Below are 22,007 nucleotides of genomic sequence, written 5' to 3' on the forward strand. Positions count from 1 at the left end.
GGAGAGAAAAAATTACCCAAACAAGAGCATGTGTAATTATGCTAAATTTCATGACTTTGGGGTCATAAATGGATTTTTCTTGATGTTCATCTGACACGTATTAATTCCAGTTGTTGCTGACTATTAAGCAGCGGCTTGTAGGGTCCTTTATAATAAGAGGACATTAATTCCTGTTAAATTATGATGAGCCTCCTGCAGCATCATACATTTCATTCATATGGATGTCACTAATAAGGAGACAATAAAAGACGAGGAGGATCAAAAGGAAGCTTTTGCTGCAGAAATTGATGGGGAATGAAACTTCCCAGCCCATGAGGCAAAGTGGTGGCAAAGAGCTTTAAAATGGGTGTGTCAGTCAGCTGGGCTGCTGTAACAGAATACCACAGAATGGGTGGCTTAAACAACAAACCTTTATTTTCTCATCATTCTAGAGGCTGGAGAGTTCAAGATAAAGATTCCAGCAGTGTTCAGTTTCTGGTGAGGGCTCTCCTTCTGGCTGCTAGATGGCTGCTTTGTCCTCATGTGGCCTTTCCACTGATCACATGCGAAGACCAGCATGAGAGATCTGAGGTGTCTCTTTTCCTAAGGACACTAATCCTATCAGACCAAGACCCCACTCTTATGACCTCATGTAACCTTAACTACCTCCTCATAATTCCAAATGTAGCCACAAAGTGGGGTTAGGGCTTCAACATATGAGTTTGGCAGGGGTGTAGGGAGGGTATCATTTGGTCCATAGCAGGGGGATAGCTTCGTGTTTGAACTCCAGTTCTTTCTCAACTCAGCTTCTTGACTCTGGCCTGTTGCTTAGGCTCTCCGAGCCTTAGTTCCCCCACCTGAAGCATGGGAGCAGTAATCACAGCCTGGGTTGGAAGATGACACTGAATTAAATAAGTGTATGAAACACCTCACTTAAGGCAGGGCACAGAGTGAACACTCACCAAATGCCAGCCCTCACTGGGATTTTGTCCTTCTTTGCCTGTTCAGGCTGGGTTCCAGGTTTGCAAGGACATTTCTGATGTTGGGACTCCTCTTAGTGATAAGTGGATCATATTCTGGGAGAGCAGAAAAATCTTCAGAAGCATGGATCAAATATGGAACATGTGCCTATGTGAATAAGTGGTGATGTTGAGAAAATGAGAGGATTAGAAAGCATATGAACTCCTATGGAAATTACGGCATAGCGATGCAAAGGAAGGCATTTTTAATGATTTGAGTAAATGAGAGAGTGACCTTGATTCTGTTCTTTCAAATTATAGGATTAGGTGAAGGGCTTGCTTTGATGAGAAAATAAAATGGAATAATTTTCGGCAAAAGTTCGTTTTAAAATTATGTCCATATTTAAATATTTTTCTTTAATAATCCTGTCAACTATTAATGAATTAAACATTACGTATAGAAGTGTTGTTTTTATTTCTTCTGCTGCAAATAAGTCTCATGAGGAAAGACTATACATCTTCTCTGGGCTTTCTTCTCGTGATATTTAAAATTAAGTTCCTCTAGCCAAGTGTTATATATAATTCTTATTCATGATTTTAGCACAGATGTTAATAAATGTCACCACAGTATATTTGCTTTCTTTGTTAACCTGAATCAATGAAGCTTTCGTGTGTGTGTGTGTGTCGTGTGTGTGTGTGTGTATGTGTGTATATAAACACACGAGTAGAGCCTGAACAGCAACACTTTTAAAGAGATAAGCATATTTTTCTCCCTTTGTACTTGAGAAAAAAGATGTCATCCTGTGTCGTTCCAGCTGCATTTCAATACATTTGTAAATTTTCGTTAAATACGCTGCTTGTGCCCTGTGTATTAAGCCTTCTAATGAGCTAATATCAGCCCTCCACTACAGTTTATCTGTGGAATTTCCTCAGCTCAGCAAATGCATAATCTTTCATTCATTCATCCTGTAGAGCACTTGTCAGTTGGTGCTATTTAATGTGACAGGAGGAGGAAAAAAAGCTGTGTTTTAAAGTGCTGTCAAATTATTATCATTTTTTTGGTCCCAGTCCTTGTATTTGGTATTCAAAAGAAACCCTTTATTTTAGGGCATTGAGCACAAAATTAGATCAGTTCCATAAGATAATGACCATATTTCACAGTTAGAAGCCAGCATGATTGCAGGGTAGTGCTTACAACTTAGAGTTGTTTCTTGTTGTTCCTAGAAGTGAACTTGTAGATTTATTTTTCTTTTGTGTTTTGCCAGCCTCAGACAGCATTCTATACAAGTGGTTGGGAAAACAGAACTTTAATTTTTCTGAATTCAGTGTAGTGGAGTGGACATAATCTTTTTGACTACTAAAGTGTCCTGATGTGTTGGGTTTTTTTGACTCATTTGTAAGAAGAAGTAAATAAGAAGTATACATTGTTCAATCCTGGGAAAAGAAAAAAATGCATGAGATGAACAAGGGTCAAAAATGTAAGGAATTTTAAAAAGAGTTTACTTTTTACATTTCTTTTACCTGAGGGTGTTTTTAGGATTATGACTATACCTGCTATGTGTGTGGTGGTTGGTGATTTTTTTTTAAATCATCAGATGTGCTGCAGCTGTGGAATTCTACAAATCCAGAAGTCCTTTGTGCTATTTTCTGCACTGCCTTTCTCACCTGCATGCTATGTAGCCACTTAAAAGTTCACTTGAATTTTTTTATAGGTGTGTGTGTGTGTATGTGTCTGTGTGTATGTGTGTGCACGCGAGTGAGAGAGACGGAGAGAGAGAGAGAGACCATAAAAATAAAATTCAAGTACAGTGGGGAGCGGGGAGAGAGAGTAATTACTCTGGGACCATTTTGGTTTGTGGAAGGGTGGAGCTTTAACCTTGCTTCTGAGACATCTGAGAGATTATGATGCGATGCCCTACTGCTGGACATATAATCTGACAATGTCTTTGTTGAGTCAACTTGAAGCCCAAGAGACATTCCCCAGTTTTTCCATTAGGGGGTCCTTATTTTTGCTGCTGTACATTGTTGTGTCCTTTTTTTTTGCTTTTTGTTTTTAGCTAACAAGTAAGCTTAGTAGCTAATGAGAAGAGGGAGTGAGTTTACGGAATAATTTTCCAGATCAGTTTCTGGCCCAGACTTCAACTGCAACCAGCATGATTTCAGAGATGCCAGGTCCTTATTTGCTCATTGACCTCCCTGGCCTCCCTGCCAGAACCAGGCAAAATAAACAATAAATAAAAAATATGGCTCCTTTCCTGCCATTTTCTTGGAATATAATCTTGGGGACATAAGCCAAAGCTCTAATAAGGAAAAATAAACCTTATGGGGTGGAAATTTTTATATATCATACTCAATTTTATTTTTATTTTGAACATTAGGTACTGTTGGTTTATGGGACAACTTCAAATGCATACATCAAAGGTCTTAAAGGTGTGGAGTCTCTTAGGCAAGGAAACAGGGTAAAATGTATATAATATATATATAAATATATATAAATATATGAGAACTATATAGATTATATATATTATATATAAAAATATATATATTTATATATTATATATTATATATATAAATTATATATATATAATATATATATAAATATATGAGAGATGATAAAATCAGTGAAGGCCTCTAGGCAAGTTAGACTGACCTTACTTTTCTAGGAAAAAAGTTAAAGGTAATGTTTTTTGAGCCCTGCCATGTTAGTGTCACCTGCTAGGCATTGTAGGAATTTCAAAGTCTCATTAGACCAAAATCTAGTAGGGAATTATGTAAAATACTATGGTGTAAGAGCAGTGTCGAGTGCCCAGAGAAGTACAGATGCATTTTCATGAGAGGTAAGTGTGGGGAGAGATTGTGTCTAGTTCATTGCTTCTGAAAGTGTGTCTACATACCCACCACTTGTAAGAAATACAATTTCACAGGGCTCACCTGAACCTTTTCTCAGGGCAAGACCCAGGAATCTGTATTTTGACAAGCCTTCTGGTGACACTGAAAAACACTGGCTGTGTTTCGCATGGAAGGAGAGAATCCAGGGATTCTCAGAGGAGGTGGTGATTAAGTTGGGTGGGAGGGGCCGACAGAATAGGAGTAGGCCCTGCAGGAAAGCAAAGTTCGCAAAGTCATTAAGTTGCCACCTATTTTAGTGCCTCCAACTCTTACAATGAAAGATTTATTTTTTCTGAATCTAAATTCATCGTGTCTTCTCAAAAGCCTGTTTCCTCTGTTTGCATTCTCGGTGGAATTGTGAATCATGGTGATCATATTTTGTATAATAGCCTTTGCCATATTTCAAGGAGGATATTAAGTTCCCCACAGTCTTTTCTTCCCCATGCTAATTAATCTTCATTCATCAGCCTTTTCTCTTACATTCCAACCCTTTCATCATTTTCATTGCTCTTGTCTGGGCTTTCCCTAAATTTTTCAGATTTCCCCAAAGATATAAAGAACCAAACTAAACCTGGTGCTGTGTTGATATCTTTACCTCTGCAGGAGTAGATGGGCATCTTATCCCCCACATGTTATTATTATTATTTATTATTTTTTGAGATGGAGTCTCGCTCTGTCGCCAGGCTGGAGCGTAGTGGTGTGATCTAGGCTCACTGCAATCTTTGCCTTCTGGGTTCAAGCAGTTCTCCTGCCTCATCCTCCTGAGTAGCTGGGATTACAGGTGCGTGCCACCACACCCAGCTAATTTTTGTATTTTTAGTAGAGACAGTGTTTCACCATGTTGGCCAGGATGGTCTCAATCTCCTGACCTCGTGATCCACCCACCTCAGCCTCCCAAAGTGCTGGGATTACAGGCATGAGCCACCAGACCCGGCCTATTTTTTTTTTTTTTTTTTTGAGAGTTTACCTAGTGAAGTCGCAGAATGTATAGTAGGATTTGTAACCTGTTACCCTTCAACTCATGGAAGATTGGAGATTGTTCACATTCACATGGGATTCTTAGATCTATATAGGTACCAACCATTGTCTGGAGACTCCATAACTATTATGATTCCCACATAGATACATTTTTTTCTAACATATTTAGCTGTAATAAGAATTAGCAAAATTCAAAATCTGTAATTTTATCTTCTTATGTTTTCTCAACAAAGAGTAAAAGTCCAACTATGATGGTGGTGATATATATATATATATATATATATATATATATATATATATATAAATATACATACATATATATATATTTAATGTAAGACTTTATATTTTTAGAGAAGTTCTGTGTTCACAGCAAAACAGAGAGGTAAGCAGAGATTTCCCATATACCCCCCTACACACACATGCACAGCCTTCCCTATAGTCGATATCCCCACCACCAGAGTGGTATGGTTATTAGAACTGACAAACCTACATTGACACATCATAGTCATCCAACTCCTACAGTTTCCATTAGGGCTCACCCTTGGTATTGGACATTCTGTGGGTTTGGACAAATGTATAGTGACATTTATCCACCATTATAGTATTCAGACTATTTTCACTGAGCTAAAAATCCTGTATTTGGCCTGTTCTTCCTTCTACACCCCAACCCCTGTCAATCACTGATCTTCTTACAGTTTCCATAATTTTGCCTTTTTCATATGTCATATGGATGAAATCATATTCTATACAATTTTTAATGTCAACAAAGGAACCCTTCTGTGTTTGAAAACATGTTTGTTGAAGCATCAGGCCAGACAAGTGGGGCCCATGATCATCTATAAAATAGGGAGAATAGCATTCCTCTTTCCTGAAATTTACTGTGCTGATAAGGTGTTATATATAAAAGAACGTAGTAGGTGTTTAGCAAATGGTGGTTATTATTTACATGTTGAGTATTCTGTCTCATATGTACCTTTTAATCATCATGATCATTTGTTCAAAGAGCCCTAGTTTATTTAGATAACACCTGTCAAATGGGGTCACATTTTTCTCCAACTACACCTCTGTGTTCTTATCATTTTCTTGTTTTTCTGTTTCTGTGGGAAGGGGATAAAGGAAAGGTTCAGTTTTGAGAGCTTCCTCTGTCTGAATTGGCTTTCCCTATGCTGGATCTTGCCATAAGAGGCCCCTTCATACTCAACTGAATGTCTAGAATTTCAGCTTTCCCTGCTTGAACGACAAGCCATAAAAAAGGAAATAGTATCGGGGTGGGTTTGCTGAACAGCACAAAGTTGAAAATTTAAGACACTTTTCTATATAATCATTTGAGCTTTCACCAAGAATATTATTTCCATATATGTTGACAGGCGGGAGAGGAAAGTTTCTTAGCAGAACTGAGATGAAGGCATGGCTGGTCTCAGTGAGTCCTCTCACGAAACAGACACAGTTTTATTGGTCCAATTCTGCCCCTAATTCTGGGATCTGTGCATGCATGTTGGTGATGCTGGCACAGGTTATCCTTCCAGGAGTTGCTATAGAAACAGGTAACAGCCACACCCACTTTCTCTGTCTGTTTTGCATTTTGCGTGTGGAGGTCTGGCGGTGCTGCCTTATGCGCCCTTCTTTGGTGGGTTGCTGCTTGGTTAATGATGCTCAGTCCTTAGGATTTTCTCTTGTTTGGCATACTGAGATATAATTTCCTATCCTTGTCACTTTTGGCTTCACTCCTTAGGCTTTGCTTTGAGTTATCTTGCTAACAAAATTCACATGTCTAAAAACAAGCTGAGAGAGATCACGGACACCTGCCCCTTATCCCCACCCAATTCATGATTGAGGAACTAGAACCTTTCATGAAACCACAACTGCTCCAGAAACTAGAGAACAATTGACAGTTTGATGCTTAAAAAGAGAACTAGAAAAATACCCCACGGATTTGGTGATCTGGTCAATACAGAGTACTTTAAGTCAATTAGAAAGTTATACTTCCTAGGTCATTCTTCTTTTGCCAAGCTCAGTCATTGGTGGCTTTCCATTGCAAAATAAAATGTAGTTACTTTTGTAAAATTTTAAATGTAGTCTGTCATTTCTTATTTTACTTTTTTAAAGCATTGCATTAGTTTTGTATTTCTCCACTACCTCTGCCTAGGAGAAATACAACACATGGGCTTGGATGATTTTCTTTCTTGGAAACATGGTTGACAAAGCTATACAATAAAAGGATAATTTTCTCAGCAGAACAAAACACACTACCCTCTTGTCGCTGGGCTTTTAAAAATCTGAAGAATAGGCCGGGCGTGGTGGCTCATGCCTGTAATCCCAGCACTTTGGGAGGCTGAGGCGGGCGGATCACGAGGTCGGGAGATCGGGATCATCCTGGCTAACACGGTGAAACCCTGTCTCTACTAAAAATACGAAAAGTTAGCCGGGCTTGGTGGCAGGCGCCTGTAGTCCCAGCTACTCCGGAGGCTGAGGCAGGAGAATGGCATGAACCCGGGAGGCGGAGCTTGCAGTGAGCTGAGATCCTGCCACTGCACTCCAGGCTGGGCAAGAGTGCAAGATTTCGTCAAAAAAAAAAAAAAAATTCTGAAGAATACACTTACTTAGATACATTTGGCTTGTATTTTAATATTTCTGCAGTGACATCGCTGCTTCAGGACCTTCTGAATTGAAAAATACCAAACTTTCTTGCCCTGATGTGCTGGGAAAAGAAAAATAGATTTTCCTGCCAATTTCAGTGTGGATAGCCATGGTGCTTGTTTAACTTGTTCTCTTTATAAGTTACAAACCTAGAATAATCCTGCCATTTCAGAAATTAAAATGTGTTCTCGTTTGATCTAGTTTATTCAGCAGTGAGTGCTGAGGACATTCCACAGATTGATCAGCCTCTTCATTTGTTATATGCCTTGGGTATTACATTCCTAGATGTTTGTGTGTTCTTGGCATGTCTGAATAAGGATGGGCATGGAGTCAGGATCCTTGGAGTGGGAACAGATGCTTCAGGCCATTAGCTAATCTGTCCTCCTGCATCACTGGAGCAGCAGGATTGCATTTGATTCACCTCATGTTGGCCATCGTTTCGGAAATGTGGGGCCTTATTAGACTGTACTCTACCTCTATGCTTCAGATGCCAGTGGCTGTGGTTTAAGAAGACACTAGATTGCTGTGGTTGGAAAAATAACATTTGTAGTGTTGGAAAGGACAGTAGGCATAAATCCATTTGCCAGCAGATGGTTCAAAGCATCTGACACCTAGGACTAATTTTGCAGGGTTTCCCTGTTACTAGCTTTGCAACGTGCAAATGGGGACCTGAAATGTACTTTATTATAGCTCCTACCACCCCAAAGTTGATAAATGTGTGAATAATTGTATTAGAAAAAGTACCAATCTTTTAGCATAAGCATTTTTGCTTTTTTTTTTTTTTTTTTTTTTTTAAGAGATTAGGTGTCTGTGTAGCCTAGGCTGACCTCAAACTTCTGGACTTAATGGATGTTGACTTCATCCTTAGCCTCCCAGGTAGCTGGACCTACAAGCAAGTGCCACCATGCCTGGCTATCTTTTGTTTTGTTTTAAACCCTGTTCCACGTGATTCAGAGCCAACCATCTCCACACAGGCAGTCTCCTGGAAGCCTAAAAAAAAAAAAAAAAAAAAAAAGTCCGGCATGGTGGCTGGTGCCTGTAATCCCAGCACTTTGGAAGGCTGAGGTGGGCAGATCACGAGGTCAGGAGTTCAAGACCAGCCTGGCCAACATGGTGAAACCCCATCTCTACTAAAGATACAAAAAAAAAAAAAAAATAGCCAGGTGTGGTGGCACGCACCTGTAACCCCAGCTACTCGGGAGGCTGAGGCAGGAGAATCACCTGAATCCAGGAAGCGGAGGTTGCAGTGAGGCGAGATCGCTCCATTGCACTCCAGCCTGGGCGACAGGGTGAGACTCCATCTCAAAAAAAAAAAAAAGAAAGAAAGAAAAAAAACCTTCCACGTTAACATCAATCAATGATAATTAATTTATATGACACTCAAGTTAGTGTATTTTATACATTGTTCTCTAATTGGGAAAATGGATAGTGTATTTTACACATTTTTCTCTAATTGGGAAAATGGATATGATGTTTTCTTAAGCGCATCTAAGAAACCACTTGAAGAGCCACTTGGTTCAGATTATTTCCAAACTCTGTCAGTGCTTTATCGACTAAACAGCTCTGACTTACTTGGGATGTGAAAACAGTTCAAATAGAAAGCCAGTCCTTGGAAAGCAGTTAACATCTAAGTAATGAGATTTTAGTGGGGCGTGAGGTCACCTGTGAGATGCCCTTGTGTAGCAGGTTCCAGTTAAGAGGGTGAACGCAGACAGAAATTGGTGGGACTCTTTGGATGGCTCCTCTAGCATCCTTTACAGATGCAGATCTGTCCACATCCTGCTGGGAAAGATTGATGCATTTGACCTTTGGTTGGAGCAGATGATGATGAGCACCAGGACAGATGTGGGAAGTTAGGCAGTATCCTAGGGCATTTCGCCAGGGCAGCTTGGATGTGTGCTTTGGAAAATACCAGTCAGACAGGACAAAATCAGGGCCAGAGTAGAAGAATAAAGGATAATGAAGGTATTGAGGCAACTGTTTGATTCTATAAGCTCTCCTTTTGGGTTTAGAGGTGAATTTCTACACGTCACTGTTTTTGCATAACCTGCTGTTTTGATAGTTCTTAAGAATCCATGGTGATTTTGTTGTGGTTCATTTCCTATTTTAAAAATGCTAACCTATTATGCAAGTTTTTTCTAAATCACAGCTGTGGGGAAGAGTTCACTGTCAACTGGTAACAGGGTTGTGTTTCTTATTAGATAACTAAACTCATTACAGGGAATCTATTTTAAATTGTACACACTCTCAAATTCAATATAATATGTATTGGATGCCTCTTAGGTGCATTGCTGAGTTATGGGGATAACAAAATGAGAAGATATGGTCTCTGTCCTCTTGAAACATATTATGTAGTCAGAAGGCAGGTGTATAAACCAATAAATACAAAGTAGTGTAATCAGTGATTGTAGCCACAGAAATATGCTTAAGGTAAATAATAAGCCTGGGAGAGGTCATTGTTTTCATTCCTAGAGAAGGAGTGTATGAATCAGGGAAATCTTCAGAGGGGAAGTGATATCTGAAGCCATTTGACAGGTGGATCAGAACTCAATAGAAAGGGAAAAAATACACAATGGAAAATATACTGGGCAGAGCCATAGCATGGGCAAAGTTTCATAGGTGGGAATTTTTTTAGTCTTAAACCACTCTTGATGAGAGAAAATTGACTAACCAAACATTTAAAAGTAAAACAAAACAACAAAACACATTAAGTAATAGACCCTGACTTTCCTGATTATTAACACAGAACCATTGCAGCTCACTGTGGATCTCCAAGTGATGGTTGTCCTTAAGCTCAGGTGAGAACTATTCTCCTTAAACTTAGGAGAGGACAATAGCAGTAGATATAGAAGGTGCTTTACCCCTAAACCAGCAGGTGCTTAATGAATTCCTGTTGAGTTAATGGGGGTGGAGGGGTAGCAGGGATGATTTTCAGGTGGGAATTCTAGTCTCCTCACTGATTGGGAATGTGAACTTAAGCAAGTCACTTGTTGAAGTCCCACTTGCCTCTTGATCAAAATGAGTTTTTGTATGTAGATTATCTAAATTCTCTTCCAACTCTATTCCATCAACAATCAAAACATCTTTTAATTGATTTCCGCAAATGAAGGAGAATAATTCATGTGTCTGGAAAATTTCCTTATACTGGATAACCGAGGTATTTCATGTCACTTAGCAAATCTCTTAGTAAATCCATCATTTAGTGAATGCATTTTAGGTAATGGTCCCCTTAGACCTTAAAGAAGCCAACTTTTGGTAGGCTAGAAAAAAATACTTTAAAAAATTATTATTTAGGAATAATTACAACAACAGCAACAAACTTCAGTGCAAAAGTTAAACACCCCCCCCACCCCCCCACACACACACAGAGAAAACAAAGATTTCATCATAACAATTTTTGGCATCGATTAGACTCTGTGCCTTGCTGTTGTCCTGGTTGTTATCCTCCAAATGTGACCCTGCTGCATGCCAAGTCATCAGAAGGCTATGAGCACCTTTGGTAAGGATGCTACTTACAGTGAGTCTGCCTCACTGTACTTGCCTCCCCAGGACCCATCTGAACTGCATATTGGCCCTACCACTCTGGGGACCATGCCAAGAGGGTGCATACCTGTGCGTGCTCATTTCTGTCTGCAGTAGTGACAGATGCATAAAGTAGTTTGCTTAGGGAATTTGCTTGGATTCTTTTCTGAATCAAAGCTGTTTCCAAAAGTTGGTTTTTATGGGCATATCTTGCTGGGAATTGCCTTGGTGCTGTTGGTAAATAACAAAGAGAGAGCCCTGTCCTTACAATGCTTGCAGTCTTTCCAAAACAAAATTGTGCCTATGATAGCTTTTAGGAAATCACTGGGCCTGGAGAGAAAACATTTTTATAGTATCTGGACCTCCAAGCCAAACAACAATCTGTCTTTTAAATATTACAGATGAAGCAAAAGAGTTTTCAAAAGGAACTTCAGTGTTTCCCTAACCCCCTCTCCACCAGACCCCTGACTTACATTCCCTGAGTGAAAGCTCTTGGGCACAGGCTCCTTGTTCTCCTACCCCCAATTCATATGCCATTCTCATTTATTAGTGCTCCTTTGGAAACCAGAGCTACTATGTGACCTCTGGATTTTATTTTCCTTATGTAAGTGATCAAATTATAAAACAGCTTTCTTAAAAGCTGAATGTTTGTGTTGCTATTAACTTTTAATGTTTCATGATGTGCTATGCTCCTATTTTCATCTTTGTGTAGCATTCTTAAATGTGGTTTAAAGGACTTCCACATTTCTAAATAGAAATGGCTTCTGGGGAACCTTGTAATAGGTTGCAGGTGAGAGGGATCTAATTAACTTGCATAGATCCAGACTATTCATGGGGCTCCAGTTTTTGTTAATTCTGGTATAGGATGCCTAGAACAGAGAGTTAGGGGCTTGAAAAAACTGAAGATTCCCATGAAGACTAATTGGAAGATACAGAGAAGAGATAGGGGAGTATCTTTATATTTCTTTTATACCTCAGCTTTCTTTAATCCTTAGGTGTGTTGTAATAGCGCTTATCTTCATGATTGGATTGGTATTTTGAATGTCCACTTTCTGCTTTTCCCATACTTTATATTGTTTACTGGTGTTACTGATTTATATTTCTTAACCTCCAGCTGTGTACCTGTCACTAAAGCCAGGGACCCTGACTAGTCTTAAAGGAGATAAATGAGAATCAGGATCTAGTGAGTCGATTTCAGATGGACTCCTTTTATCTGCAAGACTTCCTGCCATTTCTCAGGCTAAATGACAAAATCATAGCCTGTTGGCTCATAGGATACTTGCCATCTTGAGAGGATAACCTTTTAACCTCTTAGTGTCTTCGGGAAGATAGGAAATTTGGTTTATATAAGAAATCATTTCCTTAAGGATAACCAAGACAGGAGGAACACAGAGAGTCCGTTTAGATTTTATGCCCATTCTTATTTCTGTAGGTGATTATCAGAGCAAGGGTCAACAAAGTAAAGCCTGCCGGCTGGCTGCCTGATTTTGTAAATAAAGTTTTAACGGAACACAGGTTTTGTCATTCAAGGGCAGAGTCTAGTAGTTGGCACAGAGACCATCTGACACACAAAGCCCAAAATATTCACAATTTGACTCTTTACAGAAAAACTTTGCTGACTTCTGCCTTAGAATTTTACTGGTGTTTAATATTTATTAGGACCACTTATGGATGATAATTATAAATCATAAATGGAAAAGGTCTTTTTGATAAGTCCATACATCATGGTTTCTGCTTTCCCAAAAGTGGCCACACTTTTATAGATTGCTCCATGAGGATGCAGTGGTAGAAAAGGCTGAACCAAGTTTGCATGTGGATAGCTATGCTCAGTCTTAGTTCAGGGGGACATTCTATAACCCCTCTTCTTGTCTCCCACTCAACTTAGTATCGAGTGGGATTTCACATCAAAGTTCTTGTCCTGAAGGATTCAGCAGTTCCAGAAGACATGGCAAGAATCAGCTCTCAGTCAGCTTTTCAACTCCTTGATGGGGGGGTTAAGAGTAGAGAGAACTATCCATCATAACTAAATCTTTACTAATAATTTAAATTCTACAGATTCCAGGACTATGGCATCTTGACTCAGTAAATCTTTCTTGCCTTTCCTTTTTTTAAAACAAGGGAAAAATATACAAACAGATTAAAGTGCACTTACAAACCCAGCTGGCTTGTTTTAAGCTCCCAAAGGAACACTTGATTCCCAATTATACTATTTTTCCTTTTTATCAAATTGCTAAGAAACAGTAACTCAATTGATTTTAATGATTTCTATCACACATAGCCTTTAAGACTAGTAATAGGTTTATTATGCTCAGTCATAATGATGATATTTTACTTCTATGAATGGTATTTTTAGCAGGGCTCATAAAATACCCAGTTTGATTTTGTTTATTAACTTTCTCATTTTCCATTAGCGGATGTTTTCCTGTCTCAGATAATTCTCCTGCCTGTTGATATTACACTATTCAATAGAAATGTGTGTTTCAAAAGAACAGACCACATACTCTTTCAGGTTTGGATTGGATGCTTTTATTTAAATACTTCCCAAAGAATAATTCTTCAGTTTTTTGTCAAATACCACTTTTAATGTTGTAACTTGACTATCACTTGAATGTCACTTCGAATTTAACTCTTAATTTTGGTGGCTTGCTATTTAGTAGTTTCATATTGCTGAGAGCCTAAACATTAATAGGTAATTTTTTTCTATTTTTTGATAAGAAAATATTCAGTTTCCATTTATTCAGTTTTTATGGTCTGCAAAATTAGAGAAGATGTCTGGTTCTGTATTAGGAGGTTTTAATTTGTTGTTTAAATATCTATTGAGCCTCTTTCAGTCTGTTTGTGCAGTGATCTAAGCTTGCATAAGGCATCTGAATTATTTTTTCAGCTTCCCCCTGTTTTATTGGCAAGTGACCGTGTGTATGGTAATTGAGCAATTGTGTGCTTACATGGATTTATGAAATTTGCATGAGCAACTTTTAGAGATCTTACATTTTTGTCTCTAAGCAGACTTGAAGAGGAAGCTTTCTGAAATATTGTCTTTTGCTTAAAATTATATTTTTGCTTTTTATTGAGAGACAATCGACCTCAAAACATTGAAGATTTGTTTCCCTTTCCTCTTGGCTATATCTTCTGTTTTTGTTCTCTTGAGGACTGAGTCAACTCTCCGTCTCTAAGTGGGGTAGGTGAAATGCTAAGGCAAGGGATAGGTCATGGGCTCAGCCCCAGGTAGAGGAACAGGCAGCGAGCTGAGCCCTCATAGCTCCTCCTGATGCTCAGCTGCTATTTTTTCCTCCCTGTTTGACAAATGAAGACACTGACATTTAGACAGTGAGAGATCCTTTGTCTGAATCAGCCAACAAGTGTGATGGAACAAAGTTGCGAACGCAGGTCTGACTGGCATTACAGGCTGTGAGCTGTACCTGGTGCCCCTTTGTCTGTAAGTGAGCAAACCTTTAAGTAATGTATTACTGGGCTCTCTGGTCAACTTTTTTTGACTGTGCCATCAGGGAGACGCACATGTCTCAGGGAGTTTCCTTTGCCTATACTCCACAAGTCTTTGGAGTACATCTAGTTCTCCTTCCAATGACCAGTGAGAAAGACAAGTTTGCTTTCTTTATTTCACAACCTCTTTCCACAACAATTTTTCTCCTTGTTCAAGTTCCAACTCACTTATTCCTGAAATGGGCTCTACTAGCCCCTGGATGTTTTGCCTGCCACTTCAAATTCTATTTCTGCCCCTGTTTCTTGCTCATACTTCGCTGAGCCTCCTTCACTTTTTCAGTGCCTGGAGCAACTTTTGATGGAAAAGTGCTTGTGTTGAACTTGGGCCCCTCTAGGTTGAGCCAAACTCCATCTTGAAGCTATAGTTCCTTTTCAGTAACTGACAGCATCTGTGAAGGCCCTATGAAGGGAATGGGGTTAAAGGGCCTTTGAAGAGGAGAACTGTGGCAGGGCACATAGGATGGAGGAGACAGGAGAGAGTTCTTTCAAAGGAGGTGAGTGCTTGACCAGAGGCTGAGGGCAGGAAGCAAGGGTGTATAAGTGTCTATAAATGTTGTGTTGGGTGTAGAAGGGGGTGTAGTAAGAGGAACAAAAGGCTGAAAAGAAGGCTGAAGGTGGGATGTAGAGCCTGGAATGTGAACATGGCTTTGGACTTTCTTCTTTTTTTCAGCAAAGAGCTGCTGGGACTTGGTGGCAGGGAAGACTTTGCCTTGTATTGTGGCTGGCACAGTCTATCAGTAGATATTCGTTGCATGGCTAGTGGTCAAATCAGTTGTCTTGCAAGGGACGTTGACCAGACTAGAGGTAAATGACTGGAGGCAGCATCACTGAATAGGATATTAGTGTTATTCATTCTTCCCCCTTCTCTATGTCTGTCACTCAAAGGAAACTTGAGATTCACTAAAGGACAATGGCTCTGGAATCATATTTCTATTTGATGTGTTTACACTAAAAGCATTTCATTTATATTTAGGAGAAATAATAGCAAAGACTGTATGGAGTATAGGCAGAGGAAAATCTCTGAGACATGCCTATCTCTCTTCCTCTCTTCCTGTCTTTAGTGTGTCCTGAGACAATAATCAGCAAAATACACTGGACAGCCATGGATTCCTCCAAGTCAGTACTTTGCAAGCTGAGTTATGACCCTATACACGGATCATGCCATGAAGTTAGTCGGTTGCAAAGAGCATTGGAAATGACACATAATAAAATATAAAACAGCTCATTGCATTGCCATCATAAAGGTCAGTTTTGTGACATAAAATATATTTCTTATTGTGAGTCATGAAGAAGTTTGAAAAACAAGGGTGAAAGGAAAAGGATCTCATTACTTTGGAATACTATAAATCTATCTTTAGCTCTGCGTGTAAGGAGATCATGTAATTTATCATCCACGATGTGTTTCTGAGGGAAAGGGCTACCTCTTAATAATTATATCACAACAACTGGTGTAACCACACTGCCTCACGCTAATTAGGAAATATGGTCACTTTGCCTGTTTTAGTCAGGGTTCTCCAGAGAATATGAATATATTCTCAGCATCCGTATCTACCTATATCTGAATCTATGTCTGTAGAGAGAGGGTGGGGAGGGGGATTTAATTTAAAGAATTGGCTCACATGATTGTGGAGCTGGAGAAGCAGGCCAGCAGGCTGGCCAATCAGGTAAGAGTTTATGTTACAGTCTTGAGGATTCCTTCTTCTTTGGGAAACCTCAGTTGTTACTCTTAAGATCTTCAACTGATTAGATAAGGCCCACCTGCATTTTGAAAAACAATCTGCTTTACCCTTAGTCTACTGATTGTAAATATTAATCATGTCTAAAATATACCTTCACAGTAATATCTAGACTAGTGTTTGATCCAACAAGTGGGTCTCATGGCCTAGCCAAATTGTCATATAAAATTAACCATTAAACCATTTAAAGAGGACAAATGGAGGGTGGACACCTACAAAGGTTTTGTTTTGTTTTGTTTTGTTTTTTGCTTTGTTTTGTTTTTTTATTGTCCAAAGGCCTTTGCTGAAGCTGACCCATTCTTCCTGATTGCTTTGGCACTGTTTGCTTTCATTCATAGTAATAGCTATGAACTTGTTAAATATTGCTGTTGTGACCTTGTGGTTTCTTAAAATAATAATTAACAAAAAGGGGTTGATGTCTCACTTTGCTAATTTTGATAGTTTTTGAATTAGATGTGAATTATACCTGCTTATTTTTATTCAAAGCTGTTTTAATATTTTACATAATGTTTTTATGAAATGACTGGAGGAGAATGCTTCAGAATAGCTTGTCTGCCAAGGCTACAGTGGTTCTCCTATGGACCTTGCCACAACAATAACTTTATAATTACTCAACAACTTGCTATTTCTCTTGCTCCAGAATAAACCATGAAGGGTTTGTAAAATGGCCAGAGAATTTGTGAATGCTTTGATTCTTGGGAAGCTGCAAGGACTGACCACTGATCACTATTGCAGTCTAGTAGTAGACTGCAATAGAGTGGCTGCTATATCCCAGCAGAAATTTAATTTTGGCCTTGTGAAGATATTTGAAGAAGGAGGAAGAACTCTGCAAATTTCCATGCTGAAAAATGTCAAAGTGAAACATTTATCACTTCTTTTTTATTGACATGATATTCAACCTGATGTTCACCTCCTTACGTTTTGAATTTTTTTCTAATTTTGGAAGGATTACTTGCTGATTATAGAAACTATAACTTGGAAAACACTGAAGACATATGAAGGAGAATAAATTGAAAATGATGACTATGATCAGATTGTAATGTGATTATTAACTTTTTAGCATTTCCTTCCCCTCTCCTTTCTGTGATTTTTTTTAAGTAACAGAGATTGCATTGATTACATACTTTTATGTCTTGCATTTTTGTCAGGTGACTTAACAACACTTTCCAATGACAATAATCACCCTTTATAAATGTTATGTTTATTGTCTGTACAATATTTCATCATATGGATGTGTCACATTTAACTTGTTTTGAGTTATTTCTTTTTGGAATCTTTGGGTTTTTTTCCATTTCTTTTCCATTGTAGTAAATAATGCTGTAGTGAACAGCTCTGTGAATGAAGCTTTTCTGTTTCTTCAGAGTGATTTTTTAAAAAGGTATTTTTCTGGTCGCTTTTGAATTCTAGGATTATAGCATTTTCAATGGGCCCTACATGCTTTGGGTCCTGAGATTGGTCAGAGAGGGCCCAAAGATCAGCAAACCCTGAAGATCTTCACGGAAGGCTGAGCTACTTGCAAAGTAGCAACAAAAAGCCACTTCCTTTTTCTTATTTTTTTTAATTTTTATACTTAAGTTCTGGGATACACGTACAGAACGTGCAGGTTTGTTACATAGGTATACATGTGCCGTGGTGGTTTGCTGCACCCATCAACCCGTCATCTACATTAGGTATTTTTCCTAATGCTATCCCTCCCCTTGCCCCCACCCCCAACAGGCTCCAGTGTATGATATTCCCCTCTCTGTGCCTAGATGTTCTCATTGTTCAACTCCCACTTATTAGTGAGAACATGTGGTGTTTGGTTTTCTGTTCCTGTGTTAGTTTGCCGAGAATGGTGGTTTCCGACTTTATCTGTGTCCCTGCAAACGACATGAACTCTCTTTTGTATGGCTGCATTGTATTCCATGGTGTATATGTGCTACATTTTCTTTATTTGGTCTATCACTGATGGGCATTTGGGTTGATTCCAAGCCTTTGCTATTGTGAACAGTGCTCCAGTAAACATATGTGTGCATGTGTCTTTATAATAGAATGATTTATAATCCTTTGAGTATATACCTAGCAATGGTATTATTGTATCAAATGGTATTTCTAGTTCTAGATCCTTGAGGAATCACCACACTGTCTTCTACAATGGTTGAACTAATTTACACTCCCACCAACAATGTAAAAGCATTCCTGTTTCTCCACATCCTCTCCAGCATCTGTTGTTTCCTAACTTTTTAATGATCGCCATTCTAACTAGCGTGAGATGGAATCTCATTGTGGTTTTGATTTGGATTTCTCTAATGACCAGTGATGATGACCTTTTTTTCATATGTTTGTTGGCTGCATAAATGTTGTCTTTTGAGAAGTGTCTGTTAATATCCTTTGCCCACTTTTTGTTGGGGTTGTTTTTTTCTTGTAAATTTGTTTAAGTTCCTTGTAGATTCTGGATATTAGCCCTTTGTCAGATGGATAGATTGCAAAAATGTTCTCCAATTATGTAGGTTGCCTGTTCACTCTGATGATAGTTTCTTTTGCTGTGCAGAAGCTCTTAAATTAGACCCCATTTGTCAATTTTGGCATTTGTTGCAATTGTTTTTGGTGTTTTAGTCATGAAGTCTTTGCCCATGCCTATGTCCTGAAAGGTATTGCCTGTATTTTCTTCTAGCGTTTTTATGGTTTTAGGTCTTACTTTTAAATCTTCAATCCATCTTGAGTTAATTTTTGTATAAGGTGTAAGGAAGGGGTCAAGTTTCAGTTTTCTACATATGGCTAGCCAGTTTTCCCAACACCATTTATTAATTAGGGAATCCTTTCCCCATTGCTTGTTTTTGTCAGGTTTGTCAAAGATCAGATGGTTGTAGATATGTGGTGTTATTTCTGAGGCCTCTGTTCTGTTCCGTTGGTCTATATATCTGTTTTGGTACCAGTACCATGCTGTTTTGGTTACTGTAGCCTTGTACTATAGTTTGAAGTCAGGTAGCATGATGCCTCCAGCTTCGTTCTTTTTGCTTAGGGTTGTCTTGGCTATACAGGCTCTTGTTTGGTTCCATATGAAATTTAAAGTAGTTTTGTCTAATTCTGTGAAGAAAGTAAATGGTAGCTTAATGGGTATAGCATTGAACCTATAAATCACTTTGGGTAGTATGGCCATTTTCACGCTATTGATTCTTCCTATCCATGAGCATGCAATGTTTTTCCATTTGTTTGTGTCCTCTCTTATTTTCTTGAGTGGTGGTTTGTCATTCTCCTTGAAGAGATCCTTCTCATCCCTTGTAAGTTGTATTCCTAGGTATTTTATTCACTTTGTAGCAATTGTGAATGGGAGTTCACTCATGATTTGGCTCTCTGTCTATTATTAGCATATAGGAATGCTTGTGATTTTTACACATTGATTTTGTATCCTGAGACTTTGCTGAAGTTGCTTATCAGCTTAAGGAGTTTTTGGGCTAAGACGATGGAGTTTTCTAAATATACAATCCTGTCATCTGCAGAGACAATTTGACTTCCTCTCTTCCTATTTAAATACCCTTTATTTCTTTCCCTTGCCTGATTGCCCTGGCCAGAACTTCCAATACTATGTTGAATAGGAGTAGTGAGAGAGGGCATCCTTGTCTTGTGCCAGTTTTCAAAGGGAATGCTTCCAGCTTTCGCCCATTCAGTATGATATTGGCTGTGGATTTGTTTTATATGGCTCTTATTATTTTGAGATATGTTCTATCAATACCTAGTCTATTGAGAGTTTTTAGAATGAAGGGGTGTTGAATTTTATCAGAGGCCTTTGTTGCATCTATTGAGATAATCATGTGGTTTTTGTCTTTGGTTCTGTTTATGTGATAGCTTATGTTTATTGATTTGCATATACCGAACTAGCCTTGCATCCCAGGGATGAAGCAGACTTGATCATGGTGGATAAGCTTTTTAATGTACTCCTGGATTTGTTTTGCCAGTATTTTATTGAGGATTTTCACACTGATGTTCATCAGGAATATTGGCATGAAATTTTCTTTTTTTGTTGTGTCTCTGTCAGGTTTTGGTATCAGGATGATCTTGGCCTCATAAATGAGTTAGGGAGGAGTTTCTTCTTTTCTATTTCTTGGAATAGTTTTAGAAGGAATGGTATGAACTCCTCTTTGTACCTCTGGTAGAATTTGGCTGTGAATCCATCTGGTTGGTCCTAGTCTTTTTTTTTGGCTGGTAGGCTATTAGTTACTGCTTCAATTTCAGAACTTGTTATTTGTCTGTTCAGGGATTTGACTTCTTCCTGGTTTAGTCTTGGGAGGGTGTATGTGTCCAGGAATTTATACATTTCTTCTAGATTTTCTAGTTTATTTGCCTAGAAGTGTTTATAGTATTCTCGGATGGTAGTTTGTATTTCTGTGGGATCAGTGGTGATATCCCCTTTATCATTTTTATTGTGTCTATTTGATTCTTCTCTGTTTTCTTCTTTGTTAGTCTGGCTAGCAGTCTATCTATTTTGTTAATCTTTTCAAAAAAAAAAAAACAGCCCTTGGATTCATTGATTTTTTCCAAGGGTTCTTCATGCCTCTAACTCCTTCAGTTCTGCTCTGATCTTGGTTATTTCTTTTCTTCTGCTAGCTTTTGTACTTGTTTGCTCTTGCTTCTCTAGTTCTTTCAATTTTGTGATGTTAGGATGTCAATCTTAGATCTTCTGCACTTTCTCCTGTGGGCATTTAGTGCTGTAAATTTCCCTCTAAACACTGCTTTAGCTGTGTCCCAGAGATTCTGGTACATTCTGTCTTTGTTCTCATTGGTTTCAAAGAGCTTATTTATTTCTACCTCAATTTCATTATTTACTCAGTAGTCATTCAGCAGCAGATTGTTCAGTTTCCATATAGTTGTGCAGTTTTGAGTGAGTTTCTTAATCCTGAGTTCTAATTTGATTGCACCGTGGTCTGAGAGACTGTTATGATTTCTGTTCTTTTGCATTGCCGAGGAGTGTTGTACTTCCAATTATGTGGTCAATTTTAGAATAAAGTGCTATGTGGTGCTGAGATGAATGTATTTTCTGTTGATTCGGGGTGGAGAGTTCTGCAGATGTCTATTAGGTCCACTCGGTCGAGAGCTGAGTTCAAGTCCTGAATATCCTTGTTAATTTTCTGTCTTGTTGATCTGTCTAATAATGACAGTGGGGTGTTAAAGTCCCCACTATTATTGTGTGGGAGTCTAAGTCTCTTTGTAGGTCTCTAAGAACTTGCTTTATGAATCTGGGTGCTCCTTTATTGGATGCGTATATATTTAGGATAATTAGCTCTTCTTGCTGCATTGATCCCTTTACCATTATGTAGTGCCCTTCTTTGTCCTTTTTTATCTTTGCTGGTTTAAGGTCTGTTTTATCAGAGACTAGGATTGCAACCCTTGCTTTTTTTTTGCTTTCCATTTGTTTGGTAAATCTTCATCCATCCCTTTATTTTGAGCTTATGTGTGTCTTTGCAAGTGAGATGGGTCTCCTGAATACAGCAAAGGGATGGGACTTAACTCTTTATACAATTTGCCAGTCTGTGTCTTTTAATTGAGGAATTTAGCCCATTTACATTTGAGGTTAAGATTGTTATGTGTGAATTTGATCCTGTCATTGCATTGCTAGCTGATTATTTTGCCCATTAGTTGATGCAGTTTCTTCATAGTGTTGATGGTCTTTACATTTTGGTATGATTTTGCAGTTGCTGGTACTGGTTTTTCCTCTCCATATTTAGTGCTGCCTTCAGGAGCTCTTGTAAGGCAGGCCTGGTGGTAACAAGATCCCTCAGCATTAGCTTGTCTGTAAAGGATTTTATTTCTCCTTTATGTGTGAAGCTTT

At 38.6% G+C, this 22,007-nt stretch overlaps 1 protein-coding gene across 11 annotated transcripts in view; it reads left to right on the forward strand.

Annotated features, from left to right (window-relative positions):
* The window catches only part of FAT3 (FAT atypical cadherin 3), a 671,656-nt gene that overhangs the window by 182,820 nt on the left and 466,829 nt on the right, over positions 1-22,007 (forward strand). Inside the window, exon 1 of one of the 11 annotated variants that reach the window (XM_017017187.2) lies at positions 8,238-15,709. The exons of the other annotated variants lie outside the window; for them this stretch is intronic. The gene's annotated coding sequence lies outside the window, so the exon portion shown is untranslated. Of the gene's footprint in view, positions 1-8,237; positions 15,710-22,007 lie in introns of those variants that run through there. 11 annotated transcript variants of the gene reach the window in all.

This window comes from Homo sapiens, chromosome 11 (assembly GCF_000001405.40).
Source record: "Homo sapiens chromosome 11, GRCh38.p14 Primary Assembly".
Lineage (NCBI taxonomy): Eukaryota > Metazoa > Chordata > Mammalia > Primates > Hominidae > Homo > Homo sapiens.